We start from the raw sequence: 27,454 nt of genomic DNA on the forward strand, positions 1-27,454 counted from the left end.
AGGCATGAGCCACTGTGCACAGCTTATTTCCTTATTTTCTGTTGAAAAAAAATGTGAGATTATGTATGTCTATTTTCCCCTCACATTTGAGTCTACTGAACAGAATGGGATGTTTGGTCAATGAATTCCATTATAGCCACTTGTCAGCTGTGATTTGGACAGATTATTTAATCTCTCTCTGTCTTTATTTCTTCATTTGTGAAATAGCAATAAGCTTAATTCACACACAGTACTTGTCACACATTAAGCCTTCCAAAAATTTTAGCTGTTACGATAATCATTGCCCTTTTAAAAATTACACATAAAGCACCACTGCTAGCTTCCGTGAAGGAAACAAGAAGAGTAGGAGACCCAGTCTGAAAATGCAAGTGCTTACCATGCAGGTAGGGAACATAAGAATTACACCCACAAAACAGTTATGTTTCAGTGAGAGGCCATAAGTCATGACTGTTGCCTCTTAATTAGCGATTGAGACTTCAGGTCTACAGGGGGTCTGGAAGGGGAGACAATTGGGCAGGTGAGGTTGAGAAACAGAAGGAAAAAGAAGAAGATGGGTGAAAGGAGGCAGAAAATGTGAGAGGAAAACAGACATGAATGATTTGGCTAGATGAGGAAAGGAGTATAGGAACAGCACAAGCAAAGATAGTCAGAAATGAGCATGGTATATTCCAGAGATTCACTGTGAGTTTGTAGTGTCTAATATGGTTTGGCTGTGTCCCCATCCAAAATCTTATCTTGAATTGTAATCCCCATAATCCCAATGTGTCAAGGGCAGGACCAGGTGGAGGTAACTGGATCACGGGGGTGGTTTCCCCCATTCCGTCCTCATGATTGTGAATGAGTCTCGCAAGATCTGATGGTTTTATAAACATCTGGCATTTCCCCTGCTTGCACTTCCTCCATCTTGCTGCCCTGTGAAGAAAGTGCCTGCTTCTCCTTTGCCTTCTGCCACGATTGTAAGTTTCCTGAGGCCTCCCCAGCCATGCAGAACAGTGAGTCAATTAAACCTCCTTCCTTTATAAATTACCCGGGCTTGGGCATTTCTTCATAGCAGTGTGAGAACAGACTAATACAGTGTCTAAGAGCCATCACTCCAAAGAGCAAACTTTATTGCCATGGCGTTAGCTGAAAAACACTTAGGCTATTAGATTGAATGTGTGCTGATCCCTGAGACTTTCTCTAAATAGTTATATAAAGCAACACATATGGAAAAAACAGCTAAGCAAAGAAAAAGATTCAGCAGAGGAAAAGTGGCTTTCTTGGTTATTTATCTTTTCCTGCAATAAGTATGCAATCATGATTAATTCAAGTTCCCTCCTAGTGTTATTCTATTTAACTGAGATATTGATGTACAATATTAGAATGCTACCAATTGTGAGAGGGAACAAGACAGTTTGGGCATGGTGCCTAAATATCAGGAGGGTGTTAAAAGAGTTATTCAGAGTATCATTTTTATTTTGCCTATGGATTGAGTCTTTCCTATGGTTCATAGGGGAAAGAATGGTGAGAAGGAGCAGAGTGAGATGAATGAAATTTGATCTCTGTCGTTGGCTGTGGTTGCTACTCTTGGACAGTAACTCGATGACCATGAAGAAGACTTCCTCATTTCATCACATCCTGCATGTTGACTAGGATCACAGCTGGCAGCTAGTCTCCTTCCTTCCAGTTCAGAATGAATGGACTAAACATTTACTTAGTGGAGAGTTATGCAAAATTTTGATACTATAGAATGTGTTCACCTAACGGGTTGAGCCAAGAAGAGGCTCCTAAATCTAAGTCTGTATGTTAAATAAATAGAAGAGACGATTTAGCATCTTACAATATTTCTGTCGGACTCACTTTTGGAGTTGACCTTTTTGATGTGGCGGGTAGGCCTGTGGAATTTCTGAGAAATCCTTGGAAATTCTTTGTGCTTAAAATGAATAGAATCATATTTTGTGCTCCTTGAGGTGCTGGGGTTGGGGACCTGGGCCAGGGAAAATCAGATTGTGAAACCTCCACTCAGTCTTTACTTTCCTTTCTTCCTTATAAATAATTTCAATCCCACTGAAACCCCTTAATGTGACCAGATGAGTTAAAGGGAGGATAGGGATCAGAGGTAAAGAGAAATTGGTCTTACTGCTTGGCCTCGTGATGAGGGCTATGGAAGGAGATGTTAGGGACTGATTTATATAGGGACCAGAGTTCCATTTTTCCTTTTTTTTTTTAATGGTAAAGCCCAGCTGGCCAGAGCTACCTCCTTGTGCCCCACTGGCTACCTTCCAGAGGCAGTACCTAGCTGCTAGCCGCTGTTTATCATCAAGCTCCCCACACCTCAACAACAGCTCCAGGCTCAGCCATTGCCATGGATTTCTTTCCTCCTATGTCTCCACAGACTCTTTCACCTTTTGATTTTAAAACATCCTTTGTTTAATTTTTTTGTTTCTCTCGTTCAAAGGGAATGGACAGAGACTCTTCCTTGTTCTCTGCCTTCCCTCCATTATTTTGCCTAAACCAAGATTCTTCGGCTTGAAACAAAAAATCATAATCCAACTCTGCAGTTCTCATAGAGGCCCTAGTTTTGTCTGTGGCCTGTGCTTTAGAGGGGTCCAAATGTATCAATTATGATGCTCACACCTGAATGCTACCTCTGAAATCATCTTTGTCCCCTTGCTTGTGTAACACAACAGAACGTGCTTTTAGAAGGGGTCTTTTGTATTACTAGATTCTAAAATATTGACAGAACAATTTCCAACCTGTTAGCCTGCTTTCTTAAAAAAGTTAATTCAACACCAAGCACCAAGCTAGTTATTGTTCATGTGTTGTGCTTCCAGCTTCAGGCACAGATTTGCAAGAAGATTGGGAGAAATGAGAGTTGTGAGGAGGGTACAAGTTGTATCACTCCCTCAAGGGCCTGTAAGAATGGACACCAAGATACTGAATGCCTTTAGGGGAGGTTGTTTACTATTCCTAGAGGTAAAATGGCCCAGTGCCATGATTGGGGAAGGGACTTGAATCTTCAACCCTTTAAGTGAAATAGTTCTGGGCTAGATAATGTGGTAGGTGCTGAAGAGCTGAACTTGGGCTGGTGTGTGTTTCTCTTAATTGAATGATCTCTGGCCCAGGGGAGGGCATGGCCATTCAGCGGCTGGCCTCTTCTAAGCTGAGCTATGTGTGTTCTCTTACGTAGGCCACTCCATTGCTCTGGGCCTGCAGAAAGCCCTCTACAGTGCTGTATAAAGGATATAGTCAAAAGCAGGTCAGTATAACAGAGTTCATTTTAGTGGAATTCAAATGTACCATTGGCCAAATCTCTACATCAGGATAACCGTGTTTTGGGTCCATATTCCCAATACTGTTTTCATAAAATAGTTTTAGTATATTTGCAAAAGGGAGGAGAGCATCTGCTAAAAGTTTCTTGGGGAAATTCATGCTATAGTTTGGAAATAGATAAAAACATACTTTGTTTTCACTTTAAAAAAAATCTTCGGCTGGGTGCAGTAGCACACACCTGTAATCCCAGCACTTTGGGAGGCAGAGGCAAGAGGATCACTTGAGCCCAGGAGTTTGAGATCAACCTGGGCAACATGGCAAAATCCTATCTCTACAAAGAATACAGAAACTAGGTGAGTGTGGTGCTGCATGCCTGTAGTCCGAGCTACTCGGGAGGCTGAGGTGGAAGGATCACCTGAGCCTGTGAGGTCAAGGCTACAGTGAGCCAAGATTGTGCCACTGCACCCCAGCCTAAGAGATAGAGTGAGACCCTGTCTCAAAAAAAATATTTTGTTTGGTTCATTTTCCCTCCAGAACTCCATAGAGGACTGTATAAATTCACATAAGGAGAAAAAGCAACTCACCAAACCTTAAGATGGTTTCTCAAAATTCCCAGACCCTGGTATACACACATATTCTCCCATACCAGGACACTGAATGCCTTTGGAGGAGGTTGATTACTTTCTTTAGAGGTAAAAAGGCTCAGGCTTAAGACAGAGCCTTGAGCCTGCAGGCCTTTGAAGGAAAGCATTCTGGGCAGGATGGACTTGGTAAGTGCTGAGGAGCTGAATCTGATATAGTGAGCACTTCCTGTATCTGGGTGACTGGGGAGCTAAGGAAGGGCATGGCCACTTAGAAGCTGGCCTTCTCCAGGGTGCAGTCTATATGTTCTCTTTTGCAGACCACTCCCTTGCTGTGGGCCTGTGTTCCTTCATCTGTAAAGTGAAAAGAGTAGGCTCGATGTTCCCTAAATTCTCTCCATTGTTTACGCAACACATCCTCCAGGAAGGACTCCCTAGCCAACACAGGTGGGACTGGGGACGAAGTGTGGGCTTGTCCCTTCAGATATCCCACCCTCAACAGACAGATTGTACCATAAGAGCAGAAAACATGCCTGGGTCATCTTTGTGACCCCATCGTCTAGCCAGGAGCTGGGAACAGAGCAGGTATCTCCAACAGTCTGTGTAATATATACATGAGAAACTGTTCAGGCAAGTAATCTTGACAACCCCTCTAGCAAAGTTCTGCTGTTCTTTTCAAACCTCTCCATTCACGAAATCAAGTGGTGGCTAAGACATGGTCATCAGATAACACTGAGCTCAAATCCTGGCCCTTTCAGGATCTTTGGCAGGTCATCTATAGCAGATGTTGTCTGTGTCCTACTAGATCTCAGCCATATGTACTTGGCCCAATTTGCAACAGCTTGATGCTTCCTCTGGGGTCTGAAGCCCCTCTGCCTGAACAGGGAAGGCTGGGGAATAAATGCCCCCAGGAGCAGCCCTCAACCAATGATTATTGGGAGTTGGTGGATAAATGCCCAAGCTTCCTTGCCCCTTAGACAGAATAATTACGAAGTGATTGTTCTACACTGTGAGAAGGTGATAAGCAGTCTGTACTAGTCCGTTCTCATACTATAAAGAACTACCTGAGACTGGGTAATTTATAAAGAAAAAAAGGTTTAATTCACTCACAGTTCCACAGGCTTAACGGGAAGCATGACTGGGAGGCTTCAGGAAACTTACAATCATGGCAAAAGGTGAAGGGGAAGCAAGGCATATCTTTTCATGGTGACAGGAGAGCAAAAAATTAAGGGGGAAAGTGCCACACACTTTTAAACCATCAGATATTATGAGAACTCACTCACTGTCATGAGAACAGCAATGGGGAAATCCTCCCCCATGATATAATCACCTCCCATCAGGCCCCTCCTCCAATTCGACATCAGATTTGGGTAGGGACACAAATCCAAACCATATCGCAGTCCCTGACAGCCAGCACTGGCCTGGTACGCACAACTAGGTCTTGATGTTTTCCTGTTGAACATAAACAGTCTCACAGAGCACTACTGCCAGACAAAATCACTCTGTGATCTTGACGAAGTGAGAAAAAAAATACCACTTCATAACCTTGTCTAGGCATAGAAAAAACAAGATCACTGTGCAAATGAAAAAAGTACCAAACACGGAGTTCAACTTCCAGCATGACAGCTTGAGGAACTCTGCTGATGCACTCCCAAGTGAAAGTGGTAAATATTATTTTTAAAACAACAACTTAAAGCCCCTGGAAATGGTCCTAAGGGAAAACAGCAAATGAAGAAACGTCTTTCTAAGAGAACCTACAAAAATTCAATAAGAAAAGCAAGTCTGTGGTATTTGAATCACTACAGCTTCTTCCTTTTCCCCTCCCAGATCAGTAAGGCAGAGATTCTACTTCAGACTGCTGCAGACAAGAGCATAGGGCTCCCTCTCCCCTCTGGCTCCCAGCCAGAGGACTTTCTTCCCAAGAGGAGCAGCACTTCAGCATCATTCATACTGACACCAGCTACTTGTTTCTGAGGCTAAGTATCAGGTGAGTACAGCTGAGTGATGGTGGCTCATTTAATCTGCCGACTCTGTCCCCCAGTTATTTAATGGAGGCTCTACCTTAGATGCAACACACTGAGGAAACCGCGGCTCAAGTTTTCCTTGCCTCGCTCATGAGGTGGTGGTTACATGCTGAAGAGGCAAGCCGAGAGCACCTTAGGCTGCTGCACCCCACTCTGCCAAGGCCTCAGCCCATAGAAAGGGGTTGCCATTCAGGCAGAAGCTTGCCACCGTCCCCACCTTGTCTCTAGAGCTCTTGCTCAAAGATTTTGCCTTGGAGGAGGAACAGGCTACAAAACAGGTAGCTCCTAATCTCTTCCCAAAGGGATTGACTTCATTTGCAACAGAGTGTAAAGTTCAAAGCTAAGAGTGCTCTCAAGAACAGTGGACGTTGTCATACAAGGCAGTTGAGATTTGTGGATCTAATGAAGATAAAGCATGGCCTGTAAGCTGGATAGTTTTCAGGAGAAAACCAGGAAATAAGATGGCTGGTAAGAGCACTCCTGGTATCAGAACAAATATCAGACGTGGACCTCAAAAACTATTCCTTCAAATAAACCACAATTTAATTGAATTAGTTTGTAGAACAATTTATGTCCTAGAGCATTGCTGAAAACAATAGAATGATCAGCAGGCAATTAGTGGAGTTTAATAGTTGGGCATGGTAAGGGAAAGACAGAGAGCCCTACTAACACCACTGCCATCCTAGAGTGACGGTGTACACACCCAAAGTCATGTCTTCCTGAAGAGCAACATCAGAGGCTTAAGACTATGAGGAGAAGGAATAAGCTTCATTAAAATAATCCAGCCAATCACTAAAAAAAATATACCAGCAAATAACAAGTCCCAGAGGCCAGGGTTGGGGGCAGTTGCTACAACATATTATCAAAAATTTTGTGGCCAAGCATAATGCTTCACACCTGTAATCCCAGCACTTTGAGAGGCCAAGGTGGAAGAATCACTTGAGCCCAGGAGATCAAGAACAGCCTGGGCAATACAGAGAGACCCCCCATCTCTACAAAAGTAATAAAAAAAAATTAGCCAGGTGGAATGGTGCACGCTGATAGTCCCAGCTACTCAGGAGGATGAGGTGGAAGGATCACTTGAACCTAGGAGGTCGAGGCTGCAGTGAGCCATGATTGCACCACTGCACTCCAGCCTGGGTGACAGAGTGGGACCATGTCTCAGAAATGATTTCAATTTCCAGCAAAAAGTTTATGAGGCATGTGATATGGTTTGTCTATGTCTCCACCCAAAATCTCATCTTGAATTGTAATCCCCTTAATCCCCATAATCCCCATGTGTCAAGGATGGGACCAGGTGGAGGTAATTGGATCATGGGGGCGGTTTCCCCCATGCTGTCCTCGTGATAGTGAGTGAGTCCCACATGATCTGATGGTTTTATAAGCGTCTAGCATTTCTCCTGCTTGCACTTCTCCTTCCTGCTGCCTTGTGAAGAAGGTGCCTTGCTTCCCCTTCACCTTCTGCCATGATTGTATGTTTCCTGAGGCCTCCCCAGCCATGCTGAACTGTGAGTCAATTAAACCTCTTTCCTTTATAAATTACCCACTCTCGGCTATTTCCTTATAACAATGTGAGAACAGACAAATACAGACCTGCAAAGAAACAGGAAAGTATGCCCCATACAGCAGAAAAAAAGCAGACAACACCAACTGCCTGTGAGAGCAACCACATGATGGATTTAACAGAGAAAGACTTCAAAATACCCATTATAAATATGTTTGCAGGCCAGGTGTGGTGGCTCATACCTGTAATCCCAGCACTTTGGAAAGCTGAAGCGGGAGGATTGCCTGAGGCCAGGAGTTTGAGACCAGCCTGGTCAGCATAGCAAGACCTCCATCTCTACAGAGAAAAAAAATAATATGTTTACTGAACTAAAAGAAAGCATGATTCAGAAAATAAAGGTATGATAACAATGTTGCATCCAGTAGAAAATATCATTAAAGAGATAGAAATTATTTTAAAAGAACCAAATGGAAATTCTGAATCTGAAAAGTACAATAACTGACATGAAAAAATCACTAGCAGGTTCAATAGCACATTTAAACTGGCAGAAGAAAGAATTAGCAGATTTGAAACAGGATTGATAGTGATTATGCAAGATGAAGACTAGAGAGAAGAAAGAGTGAAGAAAAATAAATAGAGCTTCAGACAAATGTAGGACACCATCAGCCACACAAACCTAAGTGGGATCTACTAGAAGAAAGGAAGAGATAGAGAGGAGATGAAAGGAAGAGATAGAGAGGAGCAGAAAAAATAGTCAAAGAAATAATGGCAGAAAATTTCCCAAATTTATTTTAAAAACAATAACCTACACACTCAGGAAGCTCAGTGAATTCTAAGAAGGATATATGTAAAGAATCCACAAACAGATTACATCATAGTAAAACCGGCTAAGATCAAGGAGAAAATCTTGAAAGTGGCAAGAGAAAAATGTCTCATCACTTACCCCAGTAAGATTGGTAGTTGACTTCTCAGCAGAAACAATGAAGGCCAGGAGGCAGTAAGATTAAATACTCAAAATGCTTAAAGAAAAAACTATCAACCAAGAATCCTACATCCAGCAAAGCTACCTTTCAGAAATGAAGGCAAAGACATTCCCAGTTAAATAAAAATGGGAGGATTTGTTGTTAGTAGATCCACCTCACAAGAAATAATGAAGTTCTTCAGGTTGAAAGCAAGTGCTTCAGATGTTAATTGCAACCTATGAGAACAAGCCAAGGCCCACTTTATCCACTGCCTCTTTCCCTTCCAGCCTCACAAGTGTCAGAAAGTCTCAGCCACAAGTCTGACATACCAGGATAAAAACCCCACTTTATCAATTACAGACTGAATATTTTTGGGAAGTAACAGCCACTCTGGGTATGACAGTTAATACTGAGTGTCAACTTGATTAGATAGAAGGATACAAAATATTGATCCTAGGTGTTCTCTGAGGGTGTTGCCAAAAGAGATTAACATTTGAGTCAGTGGGCTGCACAGGGCAAATCCACCCTTAATCTGGTGGGCACAATCTAATCAGCTGCCAGTGAATATGAAGCAGGCAGAAAAATGTGAAAAGGAGAGACTGGCCTAGCCTCCCAGCCTACCTCTTTCTCCCATGCTGGACACTTCCTGCCCTTGAACATCGGACTCCCAAGTTCTTCAGTTTTGAGACTCAGACCGGATCTCTTTGCTCCTCAAGCTTGCAGACAGCCTACTGTAGGACCTCGTGATCATGTAAGTTAATGCTTAATTAACTCCATATATATATACATGGAGGATATATATATATATATGGAGGATATATATATATATATATATATGGAGGATATATATATATATGGAGGATATATATATGGAGGATATATATATATGGAGGATATATATATATGGAGGATATATATATATGGAGGATATATATATATGGAGGATATATATATATGGAGGATATATATATATCCTATTAGTTCTGTATATATATATATATATTCTGTATATATATATATAAGTTCTGTATATATATACATATATATATCCTACATATACATATATATATCCTACATATGCATATATATATCTATATCTCCTACATATACATATATATATATATATCTATATCTATATCCTATTTGTTCTGTCCCTCTAGGGAACCCTAATGCACTGGATCTCAAAGTTTCTATGGTGAGACCAAATGTTTAAAGATGTCTGATGTCCCCAAGACCAGGAGAACAAGGGAGTAAGGAAAGAGAGTGCTGGAACTTTATGACTTCAGGCAGTCACTGTCTCTCTCTGGGCCTCAACTTCCCCTTTGAAAAATGAGAATGTTTGCCCTCTCTAAGAATACCAGACCCAAAGTGCTCAGGAGCATTTCTCAAGATTATTGGAAGTGTCAAAATGAGAATCAGATCAAGTTAGGAAACATTTTAAAGTTTATTGTTATACAGTAAGAGAAAGTACAGCTCATGACCCAGGAGACTTCAAACAAAGTGGTAGAAAGCTCACCTTATGGCAGTCATAGCACACTTTATAAAGCATAAAGGAGAATATTTTGATTTTTTTTTGTGGTTGGCTGTTTTACGTTATCATTCTTTTTAAGGTAAACAGAGCTGTTTAAACTGATTTGCCTATAGCTGATTGGTTTAATTTCACTGAATCATGCTGACAAAGATGTAAAGGTTATGTTTGATATTTATGATTAGAGACAGTGTTTTGGGGAAATTGGGAAGAATTAAATTTTGGTTACCTGGTTATGAGTGGTTGGCCTTCGGGTACACCTAAAGTGTGGCTTCATTTTTATCTTTAACAGAAGATAACTGAGCTCTCATTATGTGCTAGGGCACTGTTTAAATTCTGAATCCTGCCCTCTGGTAGGAAGACAGAGATTAAACAAGAGAGCCAATAACCAAACAAAAAAGTAGAGAGACTGCGGGGTTAGGGATTTTAGCTCAGGTGCTTAGAGAGGGCATTTGAGCAGAATCATGAATGCAGTAAAGGAGGCAGCCATGCAAAAACCTGTAGGAAGAGCATTCCAGGCAGAGAGAACAGCCAGTGCAAAGGCCCCAAGGTGGGAAGGAGCTTGGTGTGTTCTCAAGACCCATGTGCTCAGGACCCAGGGGGCAGAGGAGGAAGCAGGGGGAAATGAGGCTAGGAAAGGAGGCAGACGAAGATGGCAGAATAGAAAGCTCCGCTGATCGTCCTCCTGCCACTCTGTGCAAGGACACCAAGTTAACAACTACCTACACAGAAAAAAACACCTTCTTAAAAACCAAAAATCAGGTGAGCACTTACAGTACCTGGTTTTAATTTCATATCACTGAAAGAGGCACTGAAGAGATATAGAAAACAATCCTGAATCACCAATGCTACCCCTTCCCCACCCTGGCAGCCATGGCATGGTGTGGAGAGTGTTTCTGGGCACTGGGGAAGAGAGAACACAGTTCTTTTGCTTCACAATTCAATTGTGAAGCATTGCACTCAGCAATGTCCTGTTACAGCAGAAAGGAAAACCAGATCAAACTCAGTTGATGCCCACTCACAGAGGGAGCATTTAAACCAGCCCTAGCCAGAGGGGAATCACTGATCCCAGCAGTCTGAACTTGAGTACCTGCAAACCTCACCATGAAGGGCCAAAGTGCTGTCAGTCTCTAAGTAAACTTGAAAGGCAGCCTAGGCCATAAGGACTGCAACTTTTAGGTAAGTCCTAGGGCTGAACTAGGCCCAGACACAGTGGATTGGGGGTGGCGGGGCGGGGAACACAACATGCTGAGACACTAGCTAGGACAGCCAAGGGAATGCTGGCATCACTTTTCCCCTAACCCCAGGATGCACAGCTTGTGGCTCTAAAAGAGAGCCCTTCCTTCTGCTTGAGGAGAGGAGAGGGAAGAGTTGGGAGGACTTTGTCTTGCATCTTGGATACCAACTCAGCCACAGCAAGATAGGGCTCCAGTCAGAGTCAACAGGCCCCTGTTCCAGCCCTAGTTCCCAAATGACATTTCTAGACAAACTGTGGGCCAGAAGGGAACCCACTGCCTTGAAGGAAAGGACCCCATCCTGCCAGCATTCATCACCCGCTAACTGAAGAGCCCTTGGGCCCTGAATAACCAACAGCAATGCACAGGCACTACATTGAGGGCCATCATGAGCCTCTGAGACTTGCTGGCTTCAGGTACCAACACCACCACGGGGGCTAGAGCACCAAGCAGGTTCTTGAGGTTCCAGATTCCAGGACTTGACAGCATTTCTGGACCTGCCCCAGGCCAGAGGGGAGCCCACTGCCCTGAAGGATGAGTCCCAGACCAGGCAGCATTCACCACAAGCTAACTTAAGAGACCTTGGGCCTTAACGGAACATTGATGGTAGTCTGTCAGTGCTCCTTGTGGCCAGGGGTGGCAGTGGCTGTGGAGTGAGGCTCCTTTGCCTTTGGAAAGGGGAGGGAAAAGCAGGAAGGACTAGGTCTTATGGTTTCAGTGCCAGCTCAGCTGCAATACAATAGAACACCAGGTAGACTTAGAAGGTTTTTGACTCTAGTCCCTGACTCCTGGATGATACTTCTAGACCCACCTGGGGCCTGGGGGAACTCACTGACCTGGAGGGAAGGACACAGGCCTGGCTGGCTTTGCCACCTGCTCATTGTAGAGCCCAGGGTCTTAAGCAAACAGAGAGACAGTAGCCAGGGAGTGGTTACAGCAGGCCTTGGGTGAGACCCAGTGCTGTGCTGGCTTCAGGTCTGACCCAGCACAGTCATAGTGGTGGTGACCACAGGGGTGTTAATACCTATGTCACTCCACCCCCAGCTTTAGTTGGCTCAGAACAGAGAGAGCGATTCTGTATGTTCGGGAGAAAATAAGAGAACAAGAGGCCAGGTGCGGTGGCTCAAGCCTGTAATCCCAGTACTTTGGGAGGTCGAGGCAGGTGAATCACAAGGTCAGGAGACCGAGACCATCCTGGCTAAACACAGTGAAACCCCATCTCTACTAAAAATACAAAAAATTAGCTGGGCGTGGTGGCATGCACCTGTAGTCCCAGCTACTCGGGAGGCTGAGGCAGTAGAATCGCTTGTACTTACAGTGGAACGTTCCAAATGAACAACAACACATTGAAATACATTTAAAAATGAGGGCTCTTGGTAAAATCCCTTTTGGCTAAGGACGGGTTTGGCACTATGGAATGTTAAGTGCTATTCTCTTTGGATTAATCGGTCTTACACTTTTTGCTGACGGCTATGGGTGACAGGATTAGGCATGTGCAGGACCGTGGGAGATGGGGAGCTTTTTCCTCCCCAGAAGGGGAATCCTGACAGCTGATGGAACTGCTGGAAAAGATCCCTTCACTACTGGCAAGTGGTCCCCTGAACTTTTCATTTTCAGTGTCACTGCAATGAATGAGTGGGTCCTTCTCTGGCCTCTGTGAGCTCTTCACCTTCCCCACCCTGCCACAGGCAATGCTTTTCTCTCTCTCCTTTCCCTTTCTTATCTTTTCTATTACTCAGGGTGACCATCTTGCCCAGGGACGTGTTGAAATTCCTAGTCAGAAGCTGGATTAAAGATGACGGGAGCCATCTAAGGACAAATTTAAGCCTTGCCAGTTTAATATTGGGTGCTAAGCAGAGTAGCTGATGTCTATGTTTCGTCACACATATTTTACTCTGGCCCAAACAGAAAAAGATAATTTTCCTTTGTGTTGCGGCTTGGCCCCCCAGGTCTATGGTGCAGCGAGGTGGGTCACTAGGGCCACTTAGGGAAACGGAACACAGAAGCCTGGCATGCTGGCAAACAGGTAACAATTTCTTACCAGTCAGACTCCTGGCCTCTCTCTCTCTCTCTCTGTGCAAACAGGTTGAATAAATGGTAAAAATCACTGTTACTCTCCTGTAAAGTTTAAATTAATCAGAAAAAGCACTTGTAAGGCTAGTCTTAAGCTGTACCAAATTTGGTATGCTTTGTGTGTCTTTCCGTATTTTCTGTCATTAATGAGGGGTACCTTAGGATAGAATACAGGCTTAGGACACCTGTAAGCCCGCTGTTCAAGACAGCCAAGCAAACTGATCACTTATAAGCTTTGCTGCAGGTCCCTGGAAAAAACAAAAAACAAAACAAAACAAAAACTGGATAAGGTTTCCCTCTTGTCTTGTATGTCCTTGGGAGCTTGACCTTGTAACCATGTGGCCATGCTTTCTCTTCACAATGGCAGCCTGGGTTCAGGGTTCAATTCCTGGCTTGGAAAATGAGTCCTTTAACTTCTGTCTATGGATTTATATGTATTATGTGTTTGATGTTTATATATAAAAGAGCTTTCACTAATTGGTTTAAAAATAATAAAAGCTTAAATAACATATTTTGTCAGAAAAGTAAAAAGTGTAATGCCTTTTAGTTCATGTGTCTTAAGTAATTTTTGGGAAATAAAGAGAGTTTTAAAAATTATTGGTAAAATGAAAATGTCAAATAAGGCAAACGTCGAGCTGTAACCAATCCAGCCATTCTCTATCTCACTTCTGATTTCTGTATGTAGTTTCCCTTTTTTGTCTATAACTCTCCCACCACATGGCTGCACTGGAGTCTCTGTGAATCTGCTGTCATTCTGGGGGCTGCCCGATTTGCAAATCGTCCATTGCTCAATTAAACTCCTTTAAATTTAATTTGGCTGAAGTTTTTCTTTTATCACATGAGAACAGGACTTATAATGAGAAAAAAAATGAGGTGGAATGATGGCATCCTAGGATTGCTGGCTTTAGAGTTGCTTTCAATCATATTCTATTGCTCCACGGTTTTGAATTTGCTTAAAGTTACCTTCTCAAGTACAGGTTGCAAACTGGAAGCTGCATCCTATATCTGGTCTGCAGATCTGTTTCGGATGACCAGTGTAATTTTAAATAAAACATATTTGAATCGATTGCTCAGATCTAAGGATCAGAAGGTTTCATGTAAACACTTATTTCTGGCCAATCTTTACAAACTGGAAAATCTGCCAGATCTGGACCCCAAAGTCCTGACCAGAAAAATTAGGCTGAAGCAGAGTAGTGGCCATTCCCTTTGGGGGAGACATATCCTTTCCCAGTTTACCAGTCCCCACTCTGCTTGTTTTCTTCATTTATGTTACCTTCCCGGCCCTGTTAGCAGCTAGGTTTTCGACCCTTACTATTTTTTTAAAAATTATAGGAAATGTCCAAAATATATAAAACAAACATAAGATGAACACTCATATAGCCACCACCCACATTCAACAATTATTAATATCCAGTCTTGTTTCATCAGTAGCCTTGCTGATTTCTCCAACATCCCTGCACCCAACCTGGGATTATTTGGAAGCACATCGAGACATCACATAATTTCATCATTAACCATTTCAGGGCATGTTTAAATGATACACCCTTTTTATACAGACAGCCACAGTTATCACTACCATAGCGAAAACATGGAAAAGCCTTTACAAATATCCACTCTGCTCACTTTAAAAAATTCCTCTCCATATTATTCACTTCATTTGATTCCTTTTCTCTGTCAAGAAAGGACAAACAGTAATTGTTGATCTGGGAAAATGGGGGCGAGCATGCATATAAACATGAATGGTACTCCCCACACTCTAGAAAACAATGCGTGAAATGATTTTTTTCATAAGGCATTCATTCCTATTTTTTCTGATTTTTTGAAATATGCCTGATAAACTTTTACCACTAAACCTACTCCAAATACATGAGTCATGCTATTACTGTCATGATTCCATAGGTGAGATGATATGGTTGGGATATTTGTCTCTGCCCAAATCTCATGTTGAAATGTAATCCTTATTTTCCCCAATGTTGGAGGTGAGGCCTGTTGGGACGTGTTTGGGTCATGGGGGTGGAAACCTCATGGCTTGATGCTGTCCTTGCAATAGTGAGCGAGTTATCACAAGATCTGGTTGTTTAAAAGTGTGTGGCACCTCCCACACCCACTCTCTCGCTCCTGCTCTCACCATGTGAGATGCCTGCTCCCAGTCTGTCTTCCACCATGACTGTAAGCTTCCTGAGGTCCTCACCAGAAGCAGATGCCAGCATCACACTTCCTGTTAAGCCTGCAGAACTGTGAGCCAACTAAACCTCTTTTCTTTATAAATTACTCAGCCTCAGGCATTTCCTTATAGCAAAACAAGAATGGCCTAACACATGAGACAACAGAGATATAGTAGGTTAAGCGACTCATTCAAGGTAACAAAGACAGCGTAGAGCTGCAGCAAGAACCCAGACCACCTTATTTTTAATCAGATCTCTTTCTGTTATACCACATAGGAAAGGTGGAACAACAGGTTATAATAATATGATGATAGGAGATAATATAGAATAATAGTAGAAAACATTTCTGTGTGCTTACTCTGGCTGGGCATTGTGGAAGGCCACTTACATATGTTATTTATCCCTCTCATCAATTCTGTGATATAATATTATCATCTTATAGAGAATAATAATGATACTACAGAGCTTAAGTAAAATGCCCAGGGGGAAACAGCTGGGAAGTGGTGCATCTGGGATTGGAAGCCAGATTGCCCTAACTGTGGCATCCCAGTGCACCACCGCTGAATTAAACTTGACAAAGCATGGGCTCTGGAGGCAGACAAATTTGGCTTCAGATCCTGTTCCTCTGATTAGCTTTGCACCATGGATAAGTTTCCTCTTCTTTCAATGAAGATGCTAGAACCTCACTATTAGGATTCATTTGAGCATCAAACAAAATCATCCAAGGACATTATTTTATTGCTTGTCACATAGTAAAGGCATACAAGACGTTAGCTGCTAATAAAAAGGGAATGAAAGTTTTAAAGGGTACTGTCTCCAGTAATGTTCTCCATCAGAAAAAATTGTAACTTGTTCTCCACCCAGCCCCTTGAACTAGTCCCATTGTATGCTACCTAAACAATGTGTTGTTCAAGGTCAGTAAATGACATCCTAACTATAATTCTACAAATTTGAATTTCTTAAGGTCCAAGAACTCTGCTTTGAAGTTCAGGATCTAGGTTACCAGAGCTAGACAACATCTTGACCTATAATTCTAACAGGTACTTATCAGATACATGAAAACAAATGCCAACTGAGTATAGGAGATCTCATTTTCTACATAAAGGAAACATATATGGCTAAAAATGTCTTTTGATGGTGTAAAAATTTTATGAATCTGATAACCACGGGGAGGGATAATGGAAGTATGACTTCAATCTCCCCTCCTCCCCTTTTACCTTTCTTTGCCTATTTCTGAGTATCTGTAGGCTACCAAATGTTTCAGTCTGAATGTAGAAAAAACAAAATAATGAGCAGGAATAGACCGACTGGCACAAAATGTACCAAATGGAAACAATTTCCAGACGGAATGTACACTGACATGCGCGACTTACTGTAAATAATTATACAAAGCACAATACAATGAGAACAAGAGCAAAAAAAAAAAAAAAAAAAAAAAAAGGAAAATCTCAATCGGAGAAGAAAAAAGAATCCACTTGGCCAAGAGGCATGCATTAATGCATAGTGAATTCATGGACTTTCCTTATTCCCACCAAGGCTTGTGGCTTCAGGGGTATGAATAAACCTCCTTCTCCTTGCAAAACCCTCACACCAAATGCAATTGCGTGGCTGAAGCTTGACACCCACAATTGTGAAGAGAGAAGTGGGGAATGAAAAGCAGCAGACAGCCTGACAGAAAGTTCATGCTCACCCAAGAAAATGGAATTTTCCTTCAGGCTGAAAACATAATCATTATGAAACTGGCCATCAAATAATTTTCAGAGAAAATACTGTTGTAACCATCACTCCTTATCTGCAGGCATTGCAATCACTTCACAGGATGACCACAATGTTCATGATCACTTTTTAAAAACTTTTTGGTATATTTTTTCTTTTCTTTTGTTGTGGTAAACCATATAAAAATTTGCCATTTTAGCCATTAAATAAGTGTATAATTTCATGGCATTATTTACACTTACACTTTTACAAGAAAATTACTTTAAAGAAGTCTTCCATAGCAAGAAAAAACTTAATGAATTTTTAAGAGTGGGCATGGCTTCCTTCCCGATACCATTTTGGTTTTGCTGTTTTCCACCCTGGCAGTAACTTGAAACACACTATTCTCTCATTAGGGACTCACACCACCCCATCCTGCACATGTACCTGGTATCAATGGGGGCAGAGAGGAGATGAGTATGGGGTGTTGGGGGTGGGGGTGGAAGAGAATGTCTGGGTCGGTGTAAGCCTGCCATGGGCACATGGGAAAATTCTGTGACATGCACAGCCCCCAGATGGTGACTCAAGATTACTGCATGAGACGAGAGTCCGTGACATTCGGTTTGAATGGCATTTCTTAACAATTTTTATTGAGAACTTACTGACCCCATGTGACACACAAAACAAATGTACATACCCTTCACATATTTATAGAAACATTTTTACAAGTGCCCTAAAAATGGGTCAATGATGTACTTTTCTTTAAAACGTTTAATAGACATTTGATGAACTACTTTTGATGGGGTGCTATGCAAAATATGAATCTGGCTCAAAGACACTCTGGCAAAAAGTGGCACAGAGGCTATCCCTTAGACATTGGGGAATGTGAAAGAAGGCACGATAACAAAAGGGAATGGGCCAAATTCAGCCTGGCCAGCGGGTGGCATAGGTGGAAGAAGCATGAGTGGAAGGGGCAAGGACGGAGGAGGAAAGGGTGGCATGGGGAAACACAGGCTGCTGGAATGGCTGTGGTCCCAGAAGTAATCATCTCTCATCCCGCTGATGAACAAGGGTGCCGTTATGGCCTCAGCTGCGGTTACCATGACAGGCTGGCCCACTGCCATGAAGGGCAGCATGTTTCTTGCCATTAATGCCCTCTGATGTCTCCTCCATTTGGCTCTTCTATTCTCAAACCAAATCTTCAATCAGAGGAAAAAAGAAACAGGTTTAGTATACTGAGCATTTAATTTCATCATGGAAAAAAACACAACAAGCAACTCTCTATGTCCTTAACCTTTTCGGGTGTATCAAGACAAGCTACTTCCTTACTACTAAAATATCTTAGAAAGGTGACCACCACACCTTTCCCCTAGTGAGCTCCAAGTATGTGCTACGTACGCTCTGGCCTGGCTTATTTCTTTGTCTCTCTCCTTTTATCTGTAATATTACTTTTTCCACTCTTGGGTGCAGGTGTAGCTGATGAGTGGGACTCGATCCCTGCTGGTATTGCTATGTGTGGCATGTCTGCTTGCAGATACTTGACCATCAGCTACCCAGCTGCCCACCAACTCCTACTTACTAGGCCACTGTCACCCTGGTCGTGGGGGAAGCTGAGCTTGGAAAAAAAGGCGGGGGTGCCTTTTAAAGTCATACCAAGAAGATGAGGCCCCCGTTTTGAAAAGCCCATCTTCAGTGTAAAGTAAAAAATCGGTAAGAGTACATTGTATTTTAAAACAAGTTTTCTTTCCTTCAAGAAATTCTAAGGGGTCATTCATCTTCTGAAACTCCTTGAGAATTAAAAAGATGGTATATTGCAAGGCAAGTCTCGTTATAGGGGGCCCAGGGAGTTTGTGGATTGTCTTGCTGGGAAATGAGGGTATCTGAAGCCCTGGACACTCTTCACACTTCAGCTTGAAGCTTTGTGGAAGGAGGACACAAATGTTGTCCAAATTCACAAAAATTCTCAAAAAGCTTTGCCCAGTTGAGAGTTTGGGAGAAAGGAAGCATTGCTAATTCTGCACGCTCCAACTCATCCCTCCCTCCAAATCTTCCTGGGCTAAGGACAAGGTCAGCTCACTTTGTTCTCCCTATAGTCCTGGGATATGGGACAGAGACTTGGTTGCCCAGTTCCATGGGACGCCTTCAGCCATCTAGCCTCACTACTCGAGCAGAAGATCCCAATCTCATCAGCATTCCCAAAGCGGGAGTGTCCAAATAGGCAACTCTGAACACGTTCAGTAGTAATGTGGAGGAGGTATCAAAAAACACTACTCCCCAAACACCTGCCAATTGTTAAAAGACCAAAAAATAAAACCTGTCAATTAAACAACACTATCCCCCAAGCTTCTAGTTAATGACATTTCCATTGTATTTTGATCCTTCTGGAAGTTCCCAAACTGCAAATTTTATGGGACAAAGGGACTCTTCTCCCTGTTTGATGCCCCATTTCCTTCTCCCATCTTACTATTTGGAGTCCTTCTCCCTCATGAATACATAGTCTAAATTTTAAGCCTACCGTAATAGTGCTTGTTTAGAGACAATTCCAATGTACCTGTGGTCAAAGGTTCATAAACATAAGCAATGCCAAAAGTGGGCCAAATGTGCTATGGGACAACATTAGGTCCCTAGTCTCAGTATCGGTTTCATAAACCAGCCCTTACTATCTTTACAAAACAGAGGGGGGAAACATCTATTAAAAATTTTTGGAGATATTCATGCTGAAATGTTTGGCAATAGATGAGAACATCATGCCTTTTTCCTTATTTGCTGAGTGAGAGTGGTCCTTTTGCCTTCAGAACTGCATTGAGTGAATGCTATGTAAACCCAGGGAGGGGAAAGGCAATTCACCAAAACGTCAATATTTCATCTCCCCCAAATTGGCATTGCCTGCCTGAGAAAATGGAGGGCAACAGGATGCCAACACTCAGTGCCCCGTTTTGTCAGGCAGCTTTTCTGCATGCCACCATTGACAGAACCGCAGCATAGTTCCCTCACTGCACTCACACACATGAGCTCTGCAGAAAAGCTGTTAAGGTCATCCCGATTTTTCTTTCTTTTCTTCCTTTTTTGCAAATACTCCTTTGGATCCACTGACCTACAAATTTATTATCACAGCCTGAGCAAATAAATAAAAAGGTATTTCAAATTACCACAGGTAAGAGTCTAGCCTGACCTGACAGCCATCCCCCACTATCAACACATTCCACAAAACACATCTCTTCCTGTTAGTACAACAAACTGGAAGAAACAAAAAATCTCTTAAATGCTAGAAATTGATCAAGAAAATATTCACTGATGCATTTGGTAGCTTCAAAAGTTGAATGGGGGCAGCTTCCCCAAGCCATGAGTGTGACTGTATACAATTCTTGCCTAACACTTCCATCCTTAGGTTGGTGGAAATTTATGAAAAATTGATCTTGTAGTTTGTTTTGGTTTCTAGATAAACTTGCAAAGGTTGCAAGCCTTTTCGCTATCTCTACCATAATGCAAAACCAACTATGTCAGCAATGTTTTCAGCCTGCCATATCAAAGTATTCCAGAAAATTAAAATTTAGAGCTGCCACTCTCTACAAGGCTTCACCAAATACTTAAAAACAATAGTAGGAGGGCCAGGCACTTGAACTTTATGCTATCCCCCGCCATCAGTCTCAGCTTAAGGAAACATACGTTCTGGTTGGGAATTATTCCTTTACCCCAATGCCTAAACATTTATAAATTCTTAACCAAAGAGTTTATGCTTGGTTTTAAATATATTAAATAGTTTAGTTTAATGGAGCTCTTTGGAGCATTAGTTCGAATAATCCCCATGTCAGAAAACCCCAGGATGCCTCCACATGGAAGTGCTACCTAAAGGATACCAGTGCTAGGAATTCAATCTTATATATTATGCTATATTTAATTTATACTGTTATATATTATATATATTTGTAATTTGGAATACATATATTTATATATTTGTAATTTATTCAAGTGTATAATATATTTTATACACAAGGAATAAAGGAAACAGTTCAGTACTCATTTTTTTTTCCGTGGATTGTCATGTTCCCTCTGGTAATGGGAAATTTCCACAAGCTGAGCTTTCCTTACCGCATTTTCCAGCCACAAAGATCCCAAAGTTCAGACCTCATTGCCTATACATGAAAAAGGCCACAAAAACACCAAGATGGCAATGTCTGGGTCAAAGTGTGTCCAAGCCCTGAAGCGGGTTTTAGAATGGCTCCCCTGCCCGATTGCTTTTTCGGTTTACTGACCTGCACTGCGAGTTCAGTCACATTCATGCTTCTTGCCAGCCTCCTTCTATGGAAGAAACCACACGTGTTCAGCATTTGGAGTTGTGGGTGTCGTTTCATTCTTGTGTTTAATTTTTTTATTCTACCAACTCCCCACACCCAGTAGGCTGTTCTGTAACACCCAGCTGAGCCTCACATTAGGAACATTTCTCTCATGCCACAAATAAAGGAGATGCCAAAAAAAAAAAAATCAGGGCGGTGGCTCACGCCTGTAATGCCAGCACTTTGGGAGGCCGAGGCAGGAGGATCACTTGAGGTCAGGAGTTCGAGACCAGCCTGGCCAATATGGTGAAACCCCGTCTCTACTAAAAATTCAATAATTAGCCGGGCGTGGTGGCTGGCGCCTGTAATCCCAGCTACTTGGGACGCTGAGGTAGGATAATCTCTTGAACCTGGGAGGCAGAGGTTGCAGTGAGCCGAGATCGCACCATTGCACTCCAGCCTGGGTGTCCCAGCGAGACTCCTTCTCCAAAAAATAAAAAAATAACCCCCCCATAACAAAAAAAATCGTTAATCAATATAAATGACATTCTAACTTACTATTTGAAACTTAGAAAAATTAACACCAAAGGAAACCCAGACGAACGACGGACTTCTCAGAATTTTAAATAAGGTCAGAATGCGACCCTGCACTTGCTGTACAGAACCTTAATCTCCTCATCTTTATTTCTGCCTCGCCTGGGATAGGAGTTATTTATCATAACTGACCTCAGCCCAAAGTTGCCCAACTTGGTTCATTTAAATTCTGCATGATGCCTAATAGGCATAGCCCCACTACAGAACCCACTAGGTGCCAGGGGTCTGCGGGGAGGGGACGGCAGCAACACCAGGCCCCAGATGGGTTTTGGTTCAGGAGGGGAGAGGGTAGGAGAGGGACTGCGGGAAAGCCAAACGCCGCCTCCCTGCAAACCGCGCGCCAACCAGAGCAATGGGCTTACCGCAGGAACTCACTGGGGAACTGCTCGCGTTGGAAAATGCACTCCAGCTCCTGCAGCTGCAATGGGGTGAAGGCGTGGACGTTGGGCTGCTGCGCGTTGCCAGGCTCCAGCCCCCCGACGGCGCCCTGTGGGCGCGAATACTGCTGCCCAGGTTCCTTCTCGCTCTGGTCGCTGTCCTCAACGTTGCCATCGCTGCCGCTGGTGCCCTCGAGGTTTCCTTCCCATAGGTGGCCAGGAACTCCGGCGCCGCCGCCATCTTTTTCTTCTCCGCCGCCATCTTTTTCTTCTCCGCCTTGGGCTCCTGCCGACTTTAACTTTTCTCCTGCTGCTGTGCCTTGCTCAGGCTCAGGCTGTGCATCCTCTTCCTCCTCTTTGACCTCTTCAGTAAGCGACAGCACCATAGCATTCATATCTGGAAAAGTAGAAACCCCAAGAGAAAGATCAAGGCATTGGTCCTGAGGGTGTTGGAAGGAGGTGGTGAGGGGCTACACTCTGAGAGCAGTGGTAGTGCAGGGGTATCATCCAGTCTACTCGCCTCTCCCAGAGAACCTTGGTTTCCTGAGTTCGCAAAAGCATGTGTCCCATCAAGGTACTGACCCTGTAGTTCTTTCTCGTCGTCGACTGCAGGGCTGAGCAAGCTGGTCATATACTGGCTACACTGGTCCGGAGGCTCCATACCCTGAGTGGTGTGGATGGAGCTGTGCACTTCTGCAGATTCTGAGCTGGGGCCACCACGCTCTCCTAGGCAGTGCTAGAACTGTGAGTCGCCGCCTGCAACGTTCTTCTGGTGTCTAGACTCAGCAACAGTGTATCCACTTAGAGACCTCCTCTCTTGCTTTTCTGCTTCCCGCTATTTGCTGTGGGTTGGGCCTGCTGAGGTGCGCATGCGTCAGGGGCTTGGCCTTGCCCGGATGAGGGAGAGCACGCGTTGGTGGTGTGGGGGGGGAGGGGTAAGTGGTGTAGTAGGGTGTGGGGGAGGGGGGAGTAGGGCGTGGGAGGGGGAGTAGGATGGGGTGCGTGCTTGCATGCGTTGTCCTGTAGACAGGCATGCGTGAGTGTGGAACTTGGGGGAAGCTGCTGTGCTGAATTGTGCAAGCCCATTTTATGGCGATAAGGGAGATTTTGCACTAGCCCCATGCTTCCTAGGTCTCCAGGAGCAGGAGCTTGGGCCTGGATTTGCAAAGCTTGTGGGCTGCGCAAATGCACTATGTAAAAATGCAGCACACTCCTTGAGAAAGTCCACTATTAATTCTTAGTAATGAATCCACATCAAAGTGCAAGGGTGGAAACATGCACAATGATGCTTAGAGCATCCGAGATTGCTTTTCTTTTCTTTCTTTCTTTCTTTCTTTTCTTTTTTTTTTTTTTTTTGAGACAGTCTCGCTCTGTCTCTGGAATGCAGTGGCACTATCTGGGCTCACTACAACCTCCATCTTCTGGGTACCTAGATTCAGTAACAGTGTATCCACTTAGAGACCTCCTCTCTTGCCTTTCCTCTTCCCACTATTTGCTGTGGGTTGGGCCTGCTGAGGTGCGCATGCCTCAGGGGCTTGGCCTTGCCTTGGGCACGGGAGAGCACGTGTTGGAGTGGGGGCAGTAGGACGGGGTGGGGGGAGTAGGGCGGGGGAGGGAGTAGGGCGGGGGGGCGTAGGGTGGAGGGGGGGAGTAGGGCGGGGGGGCCGGGGAGTAGGATGGGGTGGGTGTTTGCATGTATTGTGCAGGTACTCAGGAGTGCCTCAGCCTCCCGAGTACCTGGAACTACAGGTGCGCACCAGCACACCTGGGTAATTATTGTATTTTTAGTAGAGACAGGGTTTCACCATGTTTGCTGGGCTGGTCTGGAACTGCTGGCCCCAAGTGATCCACCCACCTCGGCCTCCCAAAGTGCCGGGATTACAGGCGTGAGCCACCGTTCCCAGCTGCAGCCAAGATTTCTAAAATTGCAGGGCATCCTTCCTTTGCCTTTGGTTGTGACTGTGGATAGCGCAGCTTCTGCTATGTCTCTGGCTACAGACCCATTACAAATGCGCACTTACCTTCTGTGCTGAGCTGGTGCTGTGGACCTGCAGTGATTTCCCTTCTTTCCTGCTGCTGCATAGCCCTCTTTTCCTCTACTCCTGCCCTTTTCTACAGATATCTTTCTGAGCTCTTGTTTAGGAATAAATACATTTTATTTATTGTCAAATAATCACAGCCAGGACAGATTGAGTGCTCTAAGATTCTTCCTTTAAGAAGTGTTTTGTAGATACTTCAGGACTTGTTAATGTCCTGAATATAGAGAGTAGGTTTTAACCATAGAACCTATCCTCCATCGTTTGAGTGACTCATTCTATTTTTGCTTGCACAATGACCCTTTTCATCAACCTTATTTTATATAAGAAATTAAACTAGTTTGTGGGCCCCTACATGTACTGTGGGTTCCAGTCACCCCAACGACTGATCCTAATGGATGAGTGCACGCATCATACCTCATGTTCCCAGAGGATGGGTAAGAAAACAGCTGGAAAATATTTGACCAATTCACGTTCAAAGAGATGGGAAGGGATGACGATCTAACAGCCTCTTTCTGATTTTAACTAAGATGTCTCCTCGTCAGGCTGGCTCTTCCTGGAGCTAAACTGCTGGAATCTGAAATTTTGCTTTGCTTCCTGTTGCTAGCTGGCTAATCTCACTTGATCACTCTCCGTTTGTGTTAGTTTTGTCATCTGTAAAATGGGAATAACAATGATAACTATCTCATGGGGTTTTCGAATAGATGGAGATGATTAAACATGCTGCCTCACATTTCCTGCTTCTGTCAGTTTGTATGTGTTTATTTACAAGGGTCCTTGAAAGGAGAGAGATGATGGCTATTCTCTGGCAGTGGGCAACAGGGGTAAGATGTTTTATTGTGAAAATAATGGTTCTATAAGTCTTTTTGTACCTATATGTACTTCACTCAGTAAACCTTTGTTGGCTGCTGTGTTGACAGGGCCCTGTGGCAAGAAATGTGGGGATTGCCACAATGTCTGATCAATGCCTGACCATTGAGATGTAGGTTCTCATAGTGTAGTGGGATTGATAAGGAATCAGAGAGACTGATGGGGTTCAGGAGGATATTTATTATTTAGGTGCACCGGCCCAGTAAGATTAAGATCCAAAGAACTGAGCCCTGAACAAAGAGTTAAGTTACTTTTTAAGCATTTCGTGGGGCAGGGGGAAGCATATTGCAGAAGTGAGAAACAGAGACAGTTATTCAATTAATTGAGACATGCATTACATCATTTCTTAGTTTTCAAGGAAAAACATGTTTTATGACTTGAGTTTATCTGTCTAGTGAACTTGCAGCTGCACAGCTAGGGAAACAGGGTCTTCACAATGCCTGGGAAAGGAGGAGAGATAAGGCTCACTAGCCACAGAAAAACAGGCAGTTAATTTTTAAAGGACTCCAACTCTTTCTCTTTCTCAGGGGAATTGGGTTTTCTTACATACGACTGAGTTTCTGCTTACATATTCTTTAATTTCTTTTAATTCCTATTTCCATTCCCCCCTTTGGTGCTTTTTATAACAAAGGTGTTAATAGAAAGCACCACTACTTGCCACCTCTTCGCGGAGCTGAGCTGCTTCTACTGGCAGTGGCTGATATTTGGTTAATGCCATCAACTGTGCGGTAGTGTGTCGGGTTACTATTGCCTCTGTAGTTGACTGAATACTCCTAGTAAGCAGGGGTAAAAGGCAAGGGAGGATGAGGCAGTTGCCAAGAATAAGCAAGAACCTACCAATGAGGGTTTTGAATCCTCCAAAGGCTGAGAACCATCCTCCAAACAAGGAATCCAGGGACCACCCGGATCAAGTCTGAACTAGAACATGGGCCAACTCGCCCATTCTAGCAGTGATTTCCATAATAGCTTGGCCATTATCATCGATTTCTAGGCAACAGTTGGTTAAATTAAATTTTCTACATACTCCTCCTTCTGAGGCTAAGAGGTAATCCAAAGCTCATCTATTTTGATGTATAGCATTTCTTATTTGTGTTGCTTGTATTGCCAATAAACCTAGTGCCCTTGGTGTTTCATTGGTTATAATTTCAAGGACTACCTACAACCTTATGATGCAGTTGAGCATATAGATTGGGGTGCAATATCCCCATGAACCGTCTTGCACCCAGATAGCTGGCTTATAATATTTAATGATTCTTTCAGGAGACCATTCATTATCTTTTCAGTCTCCTATGTCCACATCTTTTTGACATTTGTGTCTATTTTTGTGATTATGCTTCTTCTAGTTCTTCTTTTATTTTCATCATAAACTGGATATCCTAAGAGTTCCTCTTGCTTTAGAGGAATTAGAAAGAAGGATGGCTTGATTGTTCCTAACACACATGCCCCTGTCCATTTAGCCGGCAGTTGCTGATGTACCCATGCTCCACAGATCCATTATAGGCCAGAGGATGCCTTCCAAGCATTTGGAGCCTCTAGCTGATTCCAAGTGTGGCTTAGAGTAGAGAATCAAGAGAAAGGGTTTGGACCTGGTAAGTAGGAGTCATTCTGGGCATTTCTCCGTAGAGTTTTGTTTTTAGTCTCATCATAATGCTGTTGCCCTAGGCAGGTTGTTTCTCCTGCTGCCTCTGTGAAAGCCTTTCCCCATCGGGTGATACAGTACTTTTTAATTACGGAGGTTTTTAACAACCAAACACTGGCTGAGGCTGTTGGTTCACTGGCAGGGTTAGGCAAAGTGAAGTTACCTTGTGGCATTAATTCCTTTGCCTCCCATGGCCACTGGTCACCCATATTAGTTCCTCCACATACATAGCATGAGGAAATTCCTAAGCTGCCAGTTATGTTTTCAGCTAGTTGAGCAAATATGTTTTTGGGTGATGGGGGAAGCTCAGGCACTGGCTGATCAAAATGCTTATAGAATGACTTATGGACCCAGAATTGGGGGATTGGACACATTTGAGTCCTTCTAGTCTTTTTGACAATCAGTAGTGGAACTCCAAGGCCTGCTTCTTGTCTATCAACTCATAATAGTGCTGCCTGCCCTGTAGACCAAAAAGGTAGCTCTGGCTTTAAGATAGTAAAATTTAAAGAATTGCATGTCCTTGTCTTACAATTTAGTTTGACTGACATACTACTTAGCAGAGCAGTCCATCCTGAATATAAGTGTTGGAGCTGTGTTAGCATAGACCACTGAATGTTACGGTCCGGGCATCCGATTTGTGGTTCT

General features: G+C 43.4%; 1 protein-coding gene and 1 long non-coding RNA gene across 2 annotated transcripts in view; one reads left to right on the top strand and one right to left on the bottom strand.

Annotated features, from left to right (window-relative positions):
- The window catches only part of RHOXF1-AS1 (RHOXF1 antisense RNA 1), a 110,620-nt gene that overhangs the window by 18,392 nt on the left and 64,774 nt on the right, over window positions 1-27,454 (top strand). The window lies entirely within an intron of this gene.
- On the bottom strand, window positions 17,637-23,063 carry RHOXF2B (Rhox homeobox family member 2B). The gene is made up of 4 exons (NM_001099685.3): window positions 22,847-23,063; window positions 22,250-22,661; window positions 21,273-21,318; window positions 17,637-18,218 (listed from the first exon to the last, which is right to left on the bottom strand). The coding sequence occupies exons 1-4, from the start codon at window positions 22,923-22,925 to the stop codon at window positions 17,889-17,891; spliced, it is 867 nt and encodes a 288-aa protein (NP_001093155.1). The 5' UTR covers window positions 22,926-23,063; the 3' UTR covers window positions 17,637-17,888.

Source organism: Homo sapiens, chromosome X (genome assembly GCF_000001405.40).
Source record: "Homo sapiens chromosome X, GRCh38.p14 Primary Assembly".
Lineage (NCBI taxonomy): Eukaryota > Metazoa > Chordata > Mammalia > Primates > Hominidae > Homo > Homo sapiens.